The 19356-nt window shown below is 35.5% G+C and overlaps 1 protein-coding gene across 8 annotated transcripts in view; it reads left to right on the top strand.

The window, feature by feature from the left end:
* Nucleotides 1-19356, top strand: part of PAWR (pro-apoptotic WT1 regulator) — a 106086-nt gene that overhangs the window by 52704 nt on the left and 34026 nt on the right. For all 8 annotated transcript variants that reach the window (NM_002583.4, NM_001354732.2, XM_047428916.1 and 5 more), the window contains one exon: nucleotides 17054-17185. In NM_002583.4, coding sequence (NP_002574.2) covers nucleotides 17054-17185 — 132 coding nt within the window. The remainder of the gene's footprint in view (nucleotides 1-17053; nucleotides 17186-19356) is intronic.

Genomic DNA, 19356 nt, shown 5'->3' with positions numbered 1-19356 from the left:
TTAATTAGGATTCAGTGAAACCCCTATTTGCCTAATATATTTGGTGAGAGTTGAAAAAATAAGGGTGAGACCAATCTTACACAAGCTTTCTGGGGCAATATTGGCAGTATTTTTTTTTTTTTGAAACCCAAAAGCTGTACTCTGAAGAATGACAGTATGTTTAAAGAGCCATAAAAATTAGAGATACACACAAAAATTTACGTGAAAGGCTATTTAACTTGTATGTCTCATGACACAGACAGGATTGAACAAATCACGTTGTATTCATAAGCTGATATAATACTATGCAGCTACTAAAATTTTTGTTACAAGAGATGATGTAAGTACACTTCAAAATGGGATATCCACAACTATTTGAATTTAAAAAAGAACTAGTTCTCATAGAAAGATGTTTACCACAGTGATAATAGTTGGTTAAGATTAAGAATGATTTTTCTTTTTTCTTTTTTTTAAGATGTTAATAGTTTTGAAAATTTGTACGTTTTAAATTTACTCAGTTCCCAAGCTTTCTAGTTTAGAGGTATGTTGTATGTGTGTGAGTGTTGGTGTGTATGTAGCAGACCGTAGCATATTAATCTATGTTCATTATAACATAGATTAATACGTTTCTTTCTGCTATCCAGTTAGAAGACGTCATTTGTTTATTATGCCCAGTTCTTTTCACATAGAGATACTTAATAATTTGACCTTATTTCAATTTATCTTTTTTTTTTTTTTTTAATGTTCAATGTTGTTGTTGTTGTTTAATCATCTCACAGTAACTTTTGGCTTAGGAGCCAGGGATGGAAGGTGAGGTAAAGCTAGGGCAGAGGTCGAGTGATGACAGAATGGTATATGCTAGATAAAAGAAGGACTAATGGTAGATGAAAAGGGTATTACCAGAGAAGGAGGCGGATTAAAGAAGTGGCATTACTGATAGGATTGACATGGTCTCCCTGAAGAAAATGAGTGGAATCTATTTTAATTTCCCTAATACCTTTCATGGTTATAGTAACTCATTTTGGAAAGCACAGGCACTTAATCCACACACATGGTTTGTAATTGTGTGATCCCAAATAGACTGCCCTGCCCATCCCCCTTTTAGGGAGCTCTAATTCTTTCCCCAAGAAGCTTTGCAAAGATTGCTTACCTGATTATTTTTTAGATGTAGTGGGCAGTCACAGTTTTTGAACTACATTTATATAATTTATTGTACATAAATGCAGTTGAACTTACTTGGCTGTTTAAAATCTGTATTTCATTTTAGTTCTATTGTAGTTATTTTTCTCATTCTGATTCGTAATTTAAAAGTTGTCATATTTTCCTTATTAGAGCCTTGTTGAGGAGTGTTTATACTTTGCAAAAATTTGTTCAAAAATTAAAACACCTAAGAAATTTGTGTGGATTCTTAAGATGTACATATGTTGTGTCTACAGGCATATTTGGATAGAAGAAAATGAGATAAAATTTTTTTAAGGATTCTGAAAATCGAAGGAACAAGCATTATAAGGAATGTCAGTATTATGTAAAGGATTTTACGAACGGTTGTAAATATTTTCTACTTAAAAATGAATAAACTATTGCATTCATTTGTAAGACTTACTACTTATGAGAAAGAGCAAATGGGAAAGTAGAGAAAGGAATGTGAAACAATATCTAGTTGAATTCTTTCAAGAACTAGATAGTAGATCACAATTTAAGCTATCAAAGTATCAAAACTTTGGCTTGAGCACTTATTAAAAATTAATTTGAACAGTTCTTATGTTTTATGTTGAAATTTTTAACATTGTATTTTCTTGTTTAGTTAGTATGCATAGTTTTAGATAAATAGTAGCTGTGAATGATGATTGCCTTATGTGCTTAGGTTTACCCCTACTGTTCAAGAGTTGTTATTAATATAAGTAAAAGTTATACTCTTCTCCATATATTAGAAACATTTAAACGTGTTAATACAGTTTTTGTTTAATAGAGGCAAATGGTATATTGATTGCTTTTTCTGAACTGAGTTTTGTGGAATTCTGTTTTATAAAATTGATAGGAAAAAGCTGCCATGAGATGAATCTTTTTGTTATTTAGTCTATGAACTTATTAAATTTCTATATTAAAATCTTTGAGCTGTAGTAATAGAAATGTTAGTAGTAGGAAACTATTGCCTTTAAGATTTCTAAGTCAAGTTTATTTCCATATTTAACATATATATCACTGTAAGGTTAGTCTTTCAAAAGCAGCATGTTTTATCTCATTTGTTCAAGAAATACTATGATTGGCTGATTTTTTTTGTATTTATGACTTCATGTCCCAATTCCTGTTTAGCCACAATGTCTTTGTAATACAGTCCAGTCAGTCTAGTCTCTACCAAACACCCTAGTATTTAGTTCAGCAAACATTTATTGAATATGTGCAACATACACCATGTTTTGTAATAACAGGAGTGTGAAATACTGTGGTGATGATAATATTGTGATGGTGCAATCTGTTGCCCCAAGCAAAGTCATAAAACTATCAGAACATAGCAGTGGCTTTCAAACTTTTTTTGGACAGATAAAATTATGCTTTATTGGTGACACAAATATGAATAGTTTTACAGTTAATGACATTTTCCAAAATGGCAAGCAATTTTTAAAAATAAGATTATAAACAACATATTTCCTGGATTTTCAGGATAGCCGTCTTCTGGAAAAATCTTTGTATACATTTACAAATCCTGTACTTCTCCTGCTTTGTTTTTATAGGTAAGTGGTTGGGCTCAGATAATTATAAACTTATTTTTCACCTGCTGGCTGACTCAACATTACATTCTCCAGTTAAACAAGGTGTAGGTCTTTTCTTTCTTACCGGAACTGTGTTTTCAAATTGCAATGTGGGTAGCATTCCAGGTTTCTGCTCCATAACCAGTAATATCCCTCAGTCATCAAGGTGACCAAAATGCCTCCACAGAATTTCATAATACCTTTTAGGTATTATGAAAGAATCACTGAGCCCAGAGCATTATGGCCAAAGTAGAGACTTGCCCCAGAGACATACTTGGAGAAGATACTAACCCTACTACCAGGTCCCAAGCTATGAGGGGAATTAAATAAGTTCCAGTTGAGACACCACAGGGAGTCTTTTTCAGGGAGCCAGCCAGGTTTTAATCTGCATCTGACAATAGCAAGATGTTAATCACTGAGCAGGAATTTTAGGCAGTAGAATGGAATAATTTGGAAGGGAGAGGAAGAATGCAGTATTGGAACAGATTAGGATATGTGAGGTTATGTACAGAGCAATATAGTAAGTGAGAATCTGTACAGTGATAGATGAGACTTGGGGAAGCTGGGTCTGCTGTTAGTGACTGAGGTGTAAACTTGGAAATGAGACCTTATAGAATTCCTCCAGATAGCCTCTTTAAAATTAAAAAAAAATTATGTAAAAACGTTAACATACAGAAAACTACCAAGCCAAATGAATCCTTATATAACTGTCATCCAGCAATAATAATCATCAACCCATAGTCACTCTTTTTTTTTTCAGCTGCAATTCTCAGTAATTCTGTGTTCTACAAAGTGACTCAGTATACTTACAAGTAATCTGAAACAAAAGTTTGGAAAAGTGCTCACTGCTATTGTCTATTCTGTTCTTTTTCTTAAAAATTCTGGGTTGCAATGCAGTAAATTGATTTCATAACTAACAAATAGTTACACCTGGCAGTTGGAAAATTGAGTTCAGGTTTTGGAGTTAGACTGCTTAGGTTGGAGTTCTGACTGCACTATTCAACAAATGTGTCCTTAAGCATTAATTCTTATCTTGTCCCCTCTTCCTGAATGTACATTGTGTGTACCTCCTAAAATTTTTGTGAGAATTATGAGATACTGGATTTTAGTGCTTAGTAGTACCCTACTTTAAGTGTCAGACTGGGATCTGAATCTAGGTTTCCAGTTCTAAAATCTGAGTTCTTGTCTTGTAGTTGTGAAATCTAACACCCACTTTACAGAAGATTATTTTTTTAAAAAAGAAAAAACCAAGAGATAAATGTATCCTTATCATTCATACATATCTTTATATATTAAATTTGAAGCATTTCCCAACATTATTTTGAAAACTGTTTTCAGATAATATTCTATTCTCCAGAGGCAGAAGTGTTATGGTACAGATGAATAAAATATGTATTTACTTATAGTTATTTAGTCAAAACATAAATTTTATTGCATTTTTAAACTGTATTTGGGGATTTCAATCATATACAGATGTAAGGAGAATCATATAATGAAGTCTACCTGTACTCATCTTCAGTTTCAATAATTTTCAACTCATGGCCAGTTTTGTTTTATCTATACCAGCACACTGCCCGTCTTACCTCTTGTCTTATTTTGAAGCAAATCCTAGGTGGCATGTTATGTCATCTTTAAATACTTCAGTATACATCTCTAAAATATATGGATTTTTTTTTAAACCAGAAGGACAATGTCATTATCTCACTTGAAAAAGTTTTAAAAAGTAGTTCCTTAATCTCTCAAATATATATTCATGTTCAAAGTGTTTCTTAAATAATTTTTAAAGTAGTTTCTTTAAATAAGGATGCAAATGAGGTGAGTACCTTGTTGTTGGTTCTTATGTTCTTTGAGTTTCAAATTCATATATCTCCTTTCCCTTCTTTTCTCTTTGCAATTTATAAGTTGTAGAAACTGGGCCATTTGGTCAGCAGAGGCTTGTTTTTATATGACAGAGAGCCAAGAGTGGTTTTTATAGTTTTAAAGGGCTGTTTATAAAAGAAAAACAACAACAAAAAAACAAACAGCTGACTTTATGCTGCTAAATCCTCACCAACAATTGGTATCGTCAGTCTTATAATTTTAGTCATTCTGGTAGGTGGTTCATTATGGTTTCAGCTTGCATTTCCCTAATGACATGATGTTGAGTGTCTTTTCGTGTGTTTATTTGACATTTCTTTGGTGAAATATCTGTTCACATTTTTGGTCATTTTTAATTGGGTTGTTTTTTTAATTGTGTTCTAAGAGCTCATTATATGTTCTGGCTACAAATTCATCAGGTGTGTGTTTTTGCAAATATTTTCTTCTAGTCTGTGGCACGCCTTTTTATTTCCTTAACTATTTTTTGAATAGCAAAAGTTTTTAATTTTGATAGTTTTTTTGTTTTTTGTTTGTTTGTTTGTTTGTTTTTGAGACAGAGTCTCTCTCTTTTGCCTAGGCTGGAGTACAGTGGCACAATCTCAGCTCAGTGCAACCTCCGCCTCTCGGATTCTCCTACCTCCACCTCCCAAGTAACTGAGACTACAGACATGCGCCACTACGCCTGGCTGATTTTCATATTTTTAGTAGAGACAGGGTTTCACCATGTTGGCCAGGCTGGTCTCGAACTCCTGGCCTCAAGTGATCCGCCCACCTCAGCCTCCCAAAGTGCCGGGATTACAGCCATGAGCCACCGTGTCCGGCTATGATAGTACATTTTGAGCTTATTTTTGTAACTGATGTGAGATAAAGGACTGAAGTTAACTTTTTCCTTTTAGTGGGAGGGTATATATGGATATCTATTTGTTACAGCACCATTTGCTGAAAAGATCATCCTTTCCCAGTTGAATCTTCATGACATCTTTGCTAAAAATTAAAGGGCCAGGCTGGGCACATGGTATGCTGCACGCCTATAATCCCAGAACTTTGTGAGACTGAGGCAGGTGATCACTTGAGCCCAGGAGTTCAAGACTAGTCTGGGCAACAGCAAAACCCCATTTCTACAAAAAACTAAACAAAACAAAACAAGAATTAGCCAGACATGGTGGCAAGCACCCATAGTCTCACCTACCTGGGAGGTTGAGGTAGGAGGATGGATTGAGCCCAGGAGGTCAAGGCTGCAGTGACCCATGGTTGCACCACTGCACTCCAGCCTGGGCAACAGAGCCAAGACCCTGTCTAAAAAAAAAAAAAAATATATATATATATATATATATATATATATATATATATATATATATATATGTATGTATATATATATGTATATATTTCTATTTCTGGACTCTAGTGCATTCTTTTGTATGAATATCTTTACGCCAATAACACACTCTTGATTACTCTCACTTTATAAGTATTGAAATCAAGTAGTATAAGTTCTTTAATTGGTTTTTTTTGTTGTTGTTGTATTTTTTTTTTTTTTTTTTTGAGACAGAGTCTTGCTCTGTCACCCAGGCTGGAGTGCAATGGCATGATCTCGACTCACTGCGATTTCTGCCTCCCGGGTTCAAGCGATTCTCCTGTCTCAGCTTCCCGAGTAGCTGAGATTACAGGTGCACGCCACCATGCCCAGCTAATTTTCTGTATTTTAGTAGAGACGGGGTTTCATCATGTTCCCCAGGCTGGTCTCGAACTCTTGAGCTCAGGCAATCCACCTGCCTGGGCCTCCAAAGTGCTAGGATTACAGGTGTGAGCCACTGTGCCTGTCCAACTTGATTTTTCTTTAAAAATGTTTTTTCAGATTATTTTAGATCCTCTTCATTTCCACTTAAATTTTGAATCAGTTTGATAGTTTCTACAAAAACTGTTAGGATTTTGATTTTAGGATTGCCTTGAATTTATGTATCAAGTTGAGGAGAAATTATCTTATTGACAACATTGAGTCTTCAGATCCCCTAACATAGCATATTTTTCCATACTGAGGTCTTTTAAATTTTTCTTAGCAAGATTTTTATAGTTGTAATGTAAGGGTATAGTGTGTTTTTTGTATTTTGTTTGTATTTTAAATGGTATTTTTCTTCAGTTTGAATTTTCACATTTATTGGTTGCCATTATATAAAAATACAATTGATTTTTGTATCTTGCGATCTTCCTAAACTCATTTGTCAGTTCTGGTAGTTTGTTTTTAAATAAGTCCTTAAGATATTCTATATAGAAGATAATGCCATCTATGAATAAAGATATTTTACTTTTTCCTTTCCAACATGTATACCTTTTCTTTCTTATGCTTACCTTATTGTCCTGGCTTGGACTGGCAGTATGATAGATACTGAATAGAAGTGGTGAGAGCAAAAATGGTGAAAGCATCTTACCTGATTCTTGGTCCCAGGGGAAAAGATTGATTTCTTTTACCACTAAATGTGATGTTAGATATGGGTTTTTCTGATCAGATTAAGGCTATTCTCTTCTAAGTTTGCTAAGAATTTTTTTGTGGGTTTTATTGGCATGAGGGTTTATGTTTGTGTCATGCTTTTTACTAATGTATTGGTGATTATATATTTTTCTCCTTTGTAAAGATGATGAATCACTGATTTGAAGGTTAAACAAAGTGTTTTACTGGGATAGACCCCATTTTGGTCATTGTCCTTTTTTATATATTTTGCATTTTTTATGCTAAAATTTTGCAAAGGCCTTTTTGTCTGTCTTTACCAGATTACATTGGTCTGTAGTTCTTATTATTTTAGAATTTTTTTTTTTTTTTTGGTTTTGGTACCAGAGCATTGTTGGCCTCAAAATAAGTTGAGAAGTATTTCTTCCATCTAGAAGAATTTGTGAACAGATGGTATTTCTTTAAAAGTTTGATAGTTTACCAAACCATCTTGGTTTGATATTTTCTTTACTTTCTTTACTAGATAGAGAGCTGTTCAGGTTATATACTCCTGCTTGATTGAACTTTGGTAGCTTCAGTCTTTCACGGAATTTGTCAATTTTATCAAAGTTACCAAATTTACTGGCATAAGCCACACATGGTGGCCCACACCTGTAATCCCAGCCCTTTGGGAGGCCAAGGCAGATAGATTGCTTGAGGCCAGGAGTTCAAGACCAGCCTGGGCAACATGACGAAACCCCGTCTCTTATACTAAAAATACAAAAATTAGCCAAGTGCAGTGGTGCTCACCTGTAGTTCCAGCTATTTGGGAGGCTGAGGCATGAGAATTGCTTGAACCCGGGAGGCAGAGGTTGCAGTGAGCCGAGATTACACCACTGCACTCCAGCCTGGGTGACTGAGACTGTCTCAAAAAAAATATATATATATATATTAGTGGCACAAAGTTTTTCATAATTTTTCTTAATCTTTTAATATCATAGAATATCATTTATTTTTACTTATAATAGTGATTTTCTGTCTTTTTTGTTCAGACTGCCAAGAGGTTTACTAATTTTATCTATTACTTCTAAGAACCCACTTTTGGTTTCATTATTTTTTCTATTTTGTTTTATTGTATTTTGCTCTTATTTTCATTTTCTTCCATTTATTTTGGGTTTAATTTGCCCTTTTTATAGCTTTTTAAGATGAAAGCCTTGATCATTGATTTGAGACTTCTTTTTTTCTAAAATAAATATTCATTGTTATAAATTTTCTTCTAAGCTCTGCTTTTAGGTGGATTTCAAATTTTATGTTGTGCTTTTAAAATTCATTTGAAAATATTTTCTACTTGTGATTTCTTTTTTCACGTGATTATTTGTGAATTAATTTCCATATATTTAGCAGATTTTTCAGGTAGCTTTCTGTTACTGATTTTAAGTTTAATTGAGTAGTGGTCAAAGAACATTCTTGGTATGATTTCATCATCTTATGTTTGCACAAATCCTGTTTTATGTTCCACAATATGTTCTGTCTTATTGAACATACAGTGAGTTTTCGAAAAACAAAACAAAACAAAACAAACATATAGTTTATTTTTGTGGGGGGAGTGTTCTATAAATGTTGGGTCAAATTGACAGAATTGAAGTTTTTTTTTTTATATCTCTACACATTTCCCACCTTCATGTTGTATTAAGTACTGATAGAGAAGTGTTGAAATCTCCAACTGAATTTGTGGATTTGCCCATTTTTATTTTCAGTTCTTTTTGTTTCATTTGATCTGAAGCTCCTTTATTTGGTGACTACATTTTTAAAAACTGTGTCTTCTGGATGAATTGACCCCTTTATCATTATGTAATATCCCTATTTATTCATGATAATATTCTTTATTGTGTAATCTACTTCGATAAGACTGTTTCAGCTTACATTAGATATGTGTTTTATGATGCATCTTTTTTCGTCCTTTCACTTGGAACCTATTTGTGTCATTCTATTTAAATGTGTTTCTTGTTGACAGCATATATTTGGGTCTTGCTTTTATTATTATAACTTCTGCCTTTCAGTTGAAATGGTTAGATCATGTGCATTTAATAATTGAAGTGGTTTGGTTTAAATCTTCCTGCTTGATCTTTGTTTTCTATTTATCCTATCTGTTCTCTCCTTTTTTTTCTGCCTGCATTTGTGTTGAGTATTGTTTAATCATTCAATTTTATCTTTAGCGTTGCCTAAAAAGCTCTTTGATTGGCTTTTAAAGCAGTTGCTTTAGGGTTAAATATCTATATATATGTATTATACATCTTTAACTTATCACAGTCTGCTTTTATGTAATATTATACCATGCCATGTATAGTGTAAGAATCTTACACTGGTATACTTTTATTTCCTGCCTTTGTGCCATTGCCATACATTTTACCTTTCCATGTGTTATAAATATCACAAAATGTCATTATCATTTTTTCTTTAATCACTTACATGTTAAGGAGATACCAAAATAAGAAATAACAGTTTCTTATATTTATTCATGTATTGACCATTTTGGATGTTCTTCATTCCTTTGAGTGGTTCCACATTTTCTTGCGGTATCCTTTTCTTTACAGAGAAACTTCATTTAACCTTTTTTTATACTGAAGGTCTGCTGCTCAGTTTTTGTTATTTGTAGAAGTCTTTATTTTTCTTTTCTTTTTGAAACATTTTACTACATTTAGAACCTTTATTTGACAGATTTTTCTTTTTAGTGCTTAAAAGTTGTCATTTCGAAGGGTTTTTTGTGTCTCTATTTCCTTCAGTTCTGCTCTGATCTTAGTTATTTCTTGCCTTCTGCTAGCTTTTGAATGTGTTTGCTCTTGCTTTTCTAGATCTTTTAATTGTGATGTTAGGGTGTCAATTTTAGATCTTTCCTGCTTTCTCTTGTGGGCATTTAGTGCTATAAATTTACCTCTACACACTGCTTTGAATGTGTCCCAGAGATTCTGAATGTATGTTGTGTCTTTGTTCTCGTTGGTTTCAAAGAACATCTTTATTTCTGCCTTCATTTCATTATGTACCCAGTAGTCATTCAGGAGCAGGTTGTTCAGTTTCCATGTAGTTGAGTGGTTTTGAGAGAGTTTCTTAATCCTGAGTTCTAGTTTGATTGCACTGTGATCTGAGAGACAGTTTGTTACAATTTCTGTTCTTTTACATTTGCTGAGGAGTGCTTTACTTCTAACTATGTGGTCAATTTTGGAGTAGGTGTGGTGTGGTACTGAAAAGAATGTATATTCTGTTGATTTGGGGTGGAGAGTTCTGTAGATGTCTATTAGGTCCGCTTGGTGCAGAGCTGAGTTCAATTCCTGGGTATCCTTGTTAACTTCTGTCTCGTTGATCTGTCTAATGTTGACAGTGGGGTGTTAAAGTCTCCCATTATTATTGTGTGGGAGTCTAAGTCTCTTTGTAGGTCACTCAGGACTTGCTTTATGAATCTGGGTGCTCCTGTATTGGGTGCATATATATTTAGGATAGTTAGCTCTTCTTCTTGAATTGATCCCTTTACCATTATGTATTGGCCTTCTTTGTCTCAAAAACCTAGGCAATACCGTTCAGGACATAGGCATGGGCAAGGACTTCATGTCTAAAACACCAAAAGCAATGGCAACAAAAGCCAAAATTGACAAATGGGATCTAATTAAACTAAAGAGCTTCTGCACAGCAAAAGAAACTACCATCAGAGTGAACAGGCAACCTACAGAATGGGAGAAAATTTTTGCAACCTACTCATGTGACAAAGGGCTAATATCCAGAACCTACAATGAACTCAAACAAATTTACAAGAAAAAAACAAACAACCCCATCAAAAAGTGGGCGAAGGATATGAACAGACACTTCTCAAAAGAGGACATTTATGCAGCCAAAAAACACATGAAAAAATGCTCATCATCACTGGCCATCAGAGAAATGCAAATCAAAACCACAATGAGATACCATCTCATGCCAGTTAGAATGGCGATCATTAAAAAGTCAGGAAACAACAGGTGCTGGAGAGGATGTGGAGAAATAGGAACACTTTTACACTGTTGGTGGGACTGTAAACTAGTTCAACCATTGTGGAAGTCAGTGTGGCGATTCCTCAGGGATCTAGAACTAGAAATACCATTTGACCCAGCCATGCCGTTACTGGGTATATACCCAAAGGATTATAAATCATGCTGCTATAAAGCCACATGCACACGTATGTTTATTGCGGCACTATTCACAATAGCAAAGACTTGGAACCAACCTAAATATCCAACAACGATAGACTGGATTAAGAAAATGTGGCATATACACACCATGGAATACTATGCAGCCGTAAAAAATGATGAGTTCATGTCCTTTGTAGGGACATGGATGAAACTGGAAACCATCATTCTCAGCAAATTATCGCAAGGACAGAAAACCAAACACCGCATGTTCCCACTCATAGGTGGGAATTGAACAATGAGAACACATGGACACAGGAAAGGGAACATAACACACCAGGGACTGTTGTGGGGTGGGGGAAGGGGGAGGGATAGCATTAGGAGATATACCTAATGTTAAATGACGAGTTAATGGGTGCAGCACACCAACATGGCACATGTATATATATGTAACAAACCTGCACCTTGTGCACATGTACCCTAAAACTTAAAGTATAATAATAATAAAATTAAAAAAAAAAAGGAAAAAAAAAGTTGTCATTTCGGCGGGGCGTGTGGCTCACACCTGTAATCCCAGCACTTTGGGAGGCCGTGGGGGGTGGATCACGAGGTCTGGAGATCGAGACCATCCTGGCTAACATGGTGAACCCTCATATCTACTAAAAATACAAAAAATGATCCGGGCGTGGTGGTGGGCGCCTGTAGTCCCAGCTACTCAGGAGGCTGAGGCAGGAGTATGGTGTGAACCTGGGAGGCGGAGCTTGCAGTGAGCCGAGATCACGCCACTGCACTCCAGCCTGGGCGACACAGCAAGACCCCATCTCAAAAAAAAAAAAGTCATTTCATTGTTTTCTGGCTTGTATAGTTTCTGTTGATAAGTCTGCTTTAATTCTTCATTTTATATATATATGTATTCTTTTTTTTTTTTTTTTTTTTTTAAGATGGAGTCTCACTCTGTAGCCCAGGCTGGAGTGCAGTGGCACGATCTTGGCTCACTGCAAGCTCCGCCTCCCGGGTTCACTCCATTCTCCTGCCTCAGCCTCCCGAGTAGCTGGGACTACAGGCGCGTGCCACCACGCCTGGCTAGTTTTTTGTATTTTTAGTAGAGATGGGGTTTCACTGTGTTAGCCAGGATGGTCTCGATCTCCTGACCTCATGATCCGCCTGCCTCGGACTCCCAATGTGCTGAACCACTGTGCCCGGCCCATACTTTATATTTCTTATATACTTTTGTGTATAATCTGCTTCCACCCGTCTGTTACTTTTTTGTTTTGTTTTTTTTGAGACAGAGTCTCACTCTGTCGCCCAGGCTGGAGTGCAGTGGCGTGATCTCGGCTCACTGCAAGCTCTGCCTCCCGCGTTCGCGACATTCTCCTGCCTTAGCCTCCCGAGTAGCTGGGACTACAGGTGCCCACCACCACGGCCAGCTAATTTTTTGTATTTTTAGTAGAGGCAGGGTTTCACCGTGTTAGCCATGTTTTGTAGATCTCCTGATCTTGTGATCTGCCCGCCTTGGCCTCCCAAAGTGCTGGGATTACAGGCGTGAGCCACCACGCCCGGCCCCTCTGTTACTTTTTAAATTTTAATTTTTAATTTTTTAATTCTTCCTCTGTTACTTTTAAAATTTTCTCTTTATTACTTTGATTATAATGTGTATATGATTTCTTTTTGCTTATTCTTTTTGGACTTGTTGAGCTTGCATCTGTGTGTTTATAATTTTCATCAAATTTGGATAAAATTCAGCTATTATTTCTTCAGTTGCTTTTTTCCCCCTCATTTCTCTCTCCTTGCCTTCTGAGACCCCAATTATGCATGTGTTAGACTGCTTGATACTGTCTCACAGGTCACTTTAATTTATATATTCCTAATATATAAACAACTGAAAAATAAAAGATTAACCTATAGAGAAATGGAAAACTAGAGGTAGACCTCAAAAGAAATGCAAATGACTCTTAACCATAGGAACTGCTGCTAAAATTACACTGAGATACTTTTTTTCAATTATTATATTGGCAAAAACTGCAAAAGTATGAAAACTATTGGGAGAACAGGTAATGTCATACTGAAGGAAATGTAAAATGATACAATCCCTATTGAGTGGAATTTGGAAATACCTGCCAAATTGACATATTCATTTACCTTGTGAGCCAGCAATCCTAATACTAAGAATCTATCCAGGAAATCCATTGCATATATACAGAAACTATATATATAAGCCTTTCTAACACATTTTTCTTAGAGCGTGTAAAAAACCCAAATGTTCATCAATAAAGCTCTGATTAAAATATGGTAGGTACATCTATTTAATAAAATTATTATGCAGCTGAAGAAAGGAATGAGGAGAATCCACTTCTCTTAAGTATGGCAGATACAGGAATTCTCTTATTTCTCATGATTTCCGCCAACTTCTTCCTCCAGATGTATTTATCCCAGTTAGAAAAGATTGCTTAAGAATTTCTAGGATGCTTGTTATCAAAAGAACTGCACTGGTTGCTAGCAGAATTTTGGAGAGAAGTTGTGATTCATCAAGTAATCCTATACTAAAAGCTGCCTGGAACGTTAGATACATACTGTATCCACAGGGATACTATGTGTGATGAATAGGTTCCCAGTTCAGTGGATAGCAGTGTTGCCATGGGAAAGAGCATTCAGAATTTTAACTTCAGGTATCACAGTTCACCTTCCAGTTCATCTCCAAGATGATTTGTCTCATCTTGGTAACTCATTCATTGTTTTATGAAACATTTACCGAGTGTTTTGTTTCTTCCTTTCTTTTTTCTTTTAATATACTGGTAAGGGAGTCTAGTTGAGGGGGCAGGAGGAGGGAAAGTTAGTGTTGTGGGGCTGGGTCTCAGAAAATGAAAACAAAGACAAATAAAATAGCATCCCAGTGCTCTGGGAGTGCGTGGCTACCTGCCTCAACTTTTGCTTTCTGTTAATATTAATCTATGATAATTTAAGAATTCCAACTTTAAGCTAATGATGTTGGAGCCTAGGTGAGGGATTTTTGAGTCCATATGCTGGAGAATAAGTGATGATTGCTTTCACACAGTAGAAGACTAGAGATGAGACCATTCTTTATTCTTTTCCAGATCTCATACTTTTGCTTCTCCTACTGTTCATTAAATGATTGACCTCTCCTCCCCCTTTTAAAGCAACTCCTTGATTTAAAATGCCTTTTATGCTATTTTATTCTTTCTGTTCTAGGACCTCTATCAGGTATTTTTGTTATTGTAGTTTTATACATTTTAACATTAACTAGAGTGTTTGGTCATACCTCTTTTTTAAAAAAGTAATTTTTTTGATATCTTATGTATTTTTTCTTCCAGATGATGCACCACTACTTTCCAAATAAATTTCTTCATGATTTTGATTGGAATTTTAATTTATGTGTTAAGAGACTGTTGACACCTTCACAATACTAGATTTTTCTTAAGAGCAGGTTTTAATTTGTATTCTTCAGTAAAGTCTTATAGCTTTTTTCATGCACGTACTGTTTTTTAGTTTTTTAATGGTTGTTACTAAAAATTTTGTAACTGGCTATTGATGTTACTTTGGGAAATTTTTTGCTTATTTACTGAAAAAAATCTTAACTCATAATTCTAAAATGTTTTTGTTTTTTACAAAATCATTTCCTCTGATGGTAATTTTGCCTCCTTTCTAATGTTAAAATCGCCTATTCTTCTTACCTAGTTCTATCAACTAGCACTTTCAGAATGATGTTAACAATTATGTTAATAGTGGACATCAATGTCTTGAGTCTGATTTTACTTTAAATTTTGCTGGTATGTTGTCATTAAACAAGATATTGTCTAGTGATTTGAGAAAGTTTTTGAAAGTCCTGAGAGAGATTTTTTTTTTCTAATAAGGACTAATTTCTTAACACTTTGGTGTCCCATACCAGATTTCTTTCACTGACTCTGTTTCCACCTATGATATATCATTTTTCATAGGATACAATTGCCTATGTCATTTAACTAGTCACTTAACTAGTCTTTTCACTTTTGGTCTTGTTCCTGTTCTCTGCATTGCTATTTCCAGGTTCTTCCCAAAAAGAATTTTGATCATTCCTTATCCCAAGGAACTGTATAGCATTGTAACATCATTCCAAGCTATGGAGTGAGAAGTCTAAACTTCTTGGGTTATCTATTATTTATGTTCCCTCTATGCCTTTCGAGTCCTCACTTTTGTCAAAAACTGTAATGGCTTTGAGATCATACCCCACTTGCTGGCTAACACGTTAGCTTGTGTATGCTGGCAAAAGATACTAGTCTCCTGGGTTAGTTAGAGTCAAGAACAGTTTAGACTCAGCAATAACAGTAGCTACAGTATCATAATTTTCTTGTGCTGTTTCCCCAAGCCCCACTCTTGGCAGGTTGATATGACAAGGGCCAGGTGACACCAAATCTCAACCTGCATGCTCCTTTCATTTGCCCTTTCCATTTCTGTCCTCAGACTTCTCTGTATCATCCTAATGTTGTAAGACTCCATCTCAGCTAGAAACCATCATTCTGAGCAAACTATCACAAGGACAGAAAACCAATCACTGCATATTCTCACTCGTAGGTGGGAATTGAACAATGAGAACACTTGGACACAGGGTGAGGAACATCACACTCTGGGACCTGTCGTGGGGTTGGGGGAGAGGGGAGGGATAGCGTTAGGAGATACACCTAATGTAAATGACGAGTTAACGGGTGCAGCACACCAACATGGCACATGTATACATGTGTAACAAACCTGCACATTGTGCACATGTACCCTACAACTTAAAGTATAATAATAATAAAAAATAATAAAAAACACTCCATCTCAGACAGATGCTTTCTTCCATGTCCTCCATTGTAGACCTTGTCTTTATCAAGCTTGGTACCCCTTTCAGTATGTTCCTCCTATCTCCAAATATTCCAGTGCACCTTCTTGGTTTGCACAATGGCTTCAGTGTTTTCTTCTCTCTGCACAACTTTTTTTTTTTGTCCAATTCCTATTGTCTTCACTGCCATACTGTTATACTTTGCTGTGATCAGTTCCTTAGTGTCTCTACAAAGAGGTGTGTGGTTTTTTTTGTTTTTGTTTTTGTTTGTTTATTTGTTTTTGTCTGGAGGGGGTGTGAGTTCTCATGCAGAAACCTTTAGGGCAGTGTATTGGTTAGGAATGTATTCAGTTGCAAGGAACGGATAACCCAGCCCATGATGTGTATAATGGATAGAGATTTGTTTCTATTTTGTTTTTCTTATGTAGAAAGTGTAGAGTTAGATAATTTCTAGTGTTGCTTCTGTTTTTTAGCAGCCTTCTCTTGTAAGCTTTTCCAATATGCTGTTACATGTGTAATTCTCTTTTTTTATATATCTGCAATTCCAAATTGTAGCCATTCTTTAAATTACAAGATTTTTTATAGTCTTTTCTAACTCTCCAGGTAAAAATACTCTTCCTTTATATGCTCATAGAATATAAAGCTAGAAACTGGGCCTTTATCACTAAGTTATCTATCTATCTATATATATGTATTATCTTTCCTACTAGATTATAAATTCCATTTCTTTAATGCATCCTTTGTTACCTTCTGCAGAATGCCTTGTTTAAGGTAGACGTAGTTTACTTATTGAATGAATGATAAAGAATGAATAAACCTTTCCTTTAAGAAAACCCTGTCACTGATGTTTGGAGTTTAGGGAAAAGATTTGTTGGCAGTGGTGTGGATATGGAAGTACAAGTTTTAAGCAGATAATTTATAGGAATTAAATGTACATATTGCTGAAAGAAAAATACTTTTATTATGCAAACTAATTTCTGAATGCACAAATATTTCTTTAATACTATCAATATATTTTCACATATTATCGAAACAGTCTATTAATAGTAGAAATAAAATGGAAACTCTTTTTTTCTTTCAGTGCTTAGATGAGTACGAAGATGATGAAGCAGGGCAGAAAGAGCGGAAACGAGAAGATGCAATTACACAACAGAACACTATTCAGAATGAAGCTGTAAACTTACTAGATCCAGGCAGTTCCTATCTGCTACAGGTGAGTATTTAAAAATACCAGGAAGTCACTATCTATTTTAATGGCAATTTTTCAATTATGCCTCTTGAGTTGTATGTAGTAATATATCTCCCATTGCCTCCTTTCCTCCTACTTATGCCTTCCTTACCATAAGTGGGTTCTGACATCACATGTTGGGCTCACCGTAAGCATGAACACTCTCTTCACCCTTTTCCGGCTTGTGCATCCTTTGATAGGCTGTTCTGTAGGGCCTCTGTTTGCTCCTGCTGAGACTCGGAGAACTCATGTCGGATTGCTCCTCCATGGGGACTCTTCCTCAACTTGATTAGGTTTTGACAACTCCAGGCCAGACTGCCACTCCATGTGAACATTCACTTCATCCTGCCTGCGCTCTGGCACAGAATACCCCATGCCAGGCTGCCTCTTGGAGGGTAGACATTTTTTACCCTGCTAGAGCTCTATCACCCTTTTCTGAGCCACCCTCCTGTAAAGGTAAACTTCACATTCTACTTGGGACTCTGGCTGCCCCTTTATGGGACTCCCTTTCTGACCTTGCCTCACAAATGAGGCCTTACCTTCCCTGCTTTGTAGAAATCTTCTTCATTCTGCTCAGGCTCTGATTTCTTAGGTCAGGCTGAGTGAGCTGTGCTATGTGAGCAGTCTCCTTGGTTTGCTTGGACTTGAATTCTCTATGCCAAGCAGCTCTTCTTTATGACAGGTTCTGATACCCTGATCTGAGCCACTGTGTTTTCTCACGTTGCTCTGCCCTGCCTAATGGCTTTAGGACTTAATTATTCAGGAAAGGAAGGGGAAGGATGAGTTTTTCCTTTTAAAATATTTGTTAATTTGATAAAGCTCTTATTTTTCATTTTCTTATTTTATCAGTTATATATTAGAGAAATTTTATTCTGAAGTCATCTTCAACAATATATCATACTAAATTATACATGGCAACATAGATATTTTAAGTTAGTCCTGAGGGTCAGTTAGCATGTTATGCCATAATTTTACTGAGGGCTGTGGCTTTGTTGCTAGATTATTTGAATAACATCAGTATTACTTTGCTGTATTCATCTGACTTGTATTTGTCTGATCTTATTTCACCTATGCTGTTATACTTGTTTATACGTTAGAAGTTCTGATCTGCCACTGTACCTGTAAAGACTGTTTTCATGGGGATTTCCTTATTGATCTTTATAAGCTTGAATAAAGCAGAGCGTTTTATTTAAACTTACACAAAACAGTTTGTGCTTTGCCAACATTTTCTCAGCTCTACATAGATCTTTCCCCTTCCCTTTAGTAATAGAAACCATCCCATTGCAAGGAAGATTGTTTCAGAAAGAGTATATTTGAAATCAGTTGTATAACAGACTTAAGGATTTGGGGGAGATCTAATTACGTAGTCTTTGAAACTTTTAAGACCAGTACCAGTCTTAACAGTTGTACTTTTTACAAGCCGTTTCAATGATACTAGTATAGCAGTACCCCCATATCAAAGGGAGTTATGTTCCAAGACCTCCAATGGATGCCTGAAATCATAGATAGTACTGAACGCTATATATACTATGCACATATTTGTTTTTCCTTCCTTACAATTTCATGGATAGAAGATATGTTCTTATCATAAAGCTTAGCAACTTCAGGATATGATTTTTCTTTCTTTCGTTATTAAGCTGAGAATTTTCACCTTTTTACTTAAAGCAAGCACTTTACAGCTTCTCTTTGGCATATCAGAATTGCCAGCATCACTACTCTTGTACTTTGGGGCAATTATCAAGTAAAAGAAAAGTTAATTGAACACAATCACTGGGATACCACAACAGTCTGATAACCAAGGTGGCTCCCGAGTGACTAATAGGTAGGGAGCATAGACACTGTGGTTACATTTTACAAAGGGATGATTCAGGCCCTGGGCGAGATGGAGCAGGACAGCACCAAGTTTCATCATGCTAGTCAGGACAACTCACAACTTAAAGTTTATAAATTATGTCTCAAGTTTTCTATTTAATATTTTAATTTATTAATTAAAATACTAAAATTTTATCAATTAAAATTATTAAATAACAAATATTAAAAATTATTAATCTAGCTTTATTAATACCCATGGGTTGACCATGGGTAACTGAAACTGTAGAAAGTGAAAGCTTGGATAAGGGAAAAAGGACTACTGTATTTCTTCATTTTTTTTTTCC

The sequence above is a fragment of the Homo sapiens genome, chromosome 12, assembly GCF_000001405.40.
Source record: "Homo sapiens chromosome 12, GRCh38.p14 Primary Assembly".
Classification (NCBI taxonomy): Eukaryota; Metazoa; Chordata; class Mammalia; order Primates; family Hominidae; genus Homo; species Homo sapiens.
This window is presented reverse-complemented; position numbering and strand designations above follow the sequence as displayed.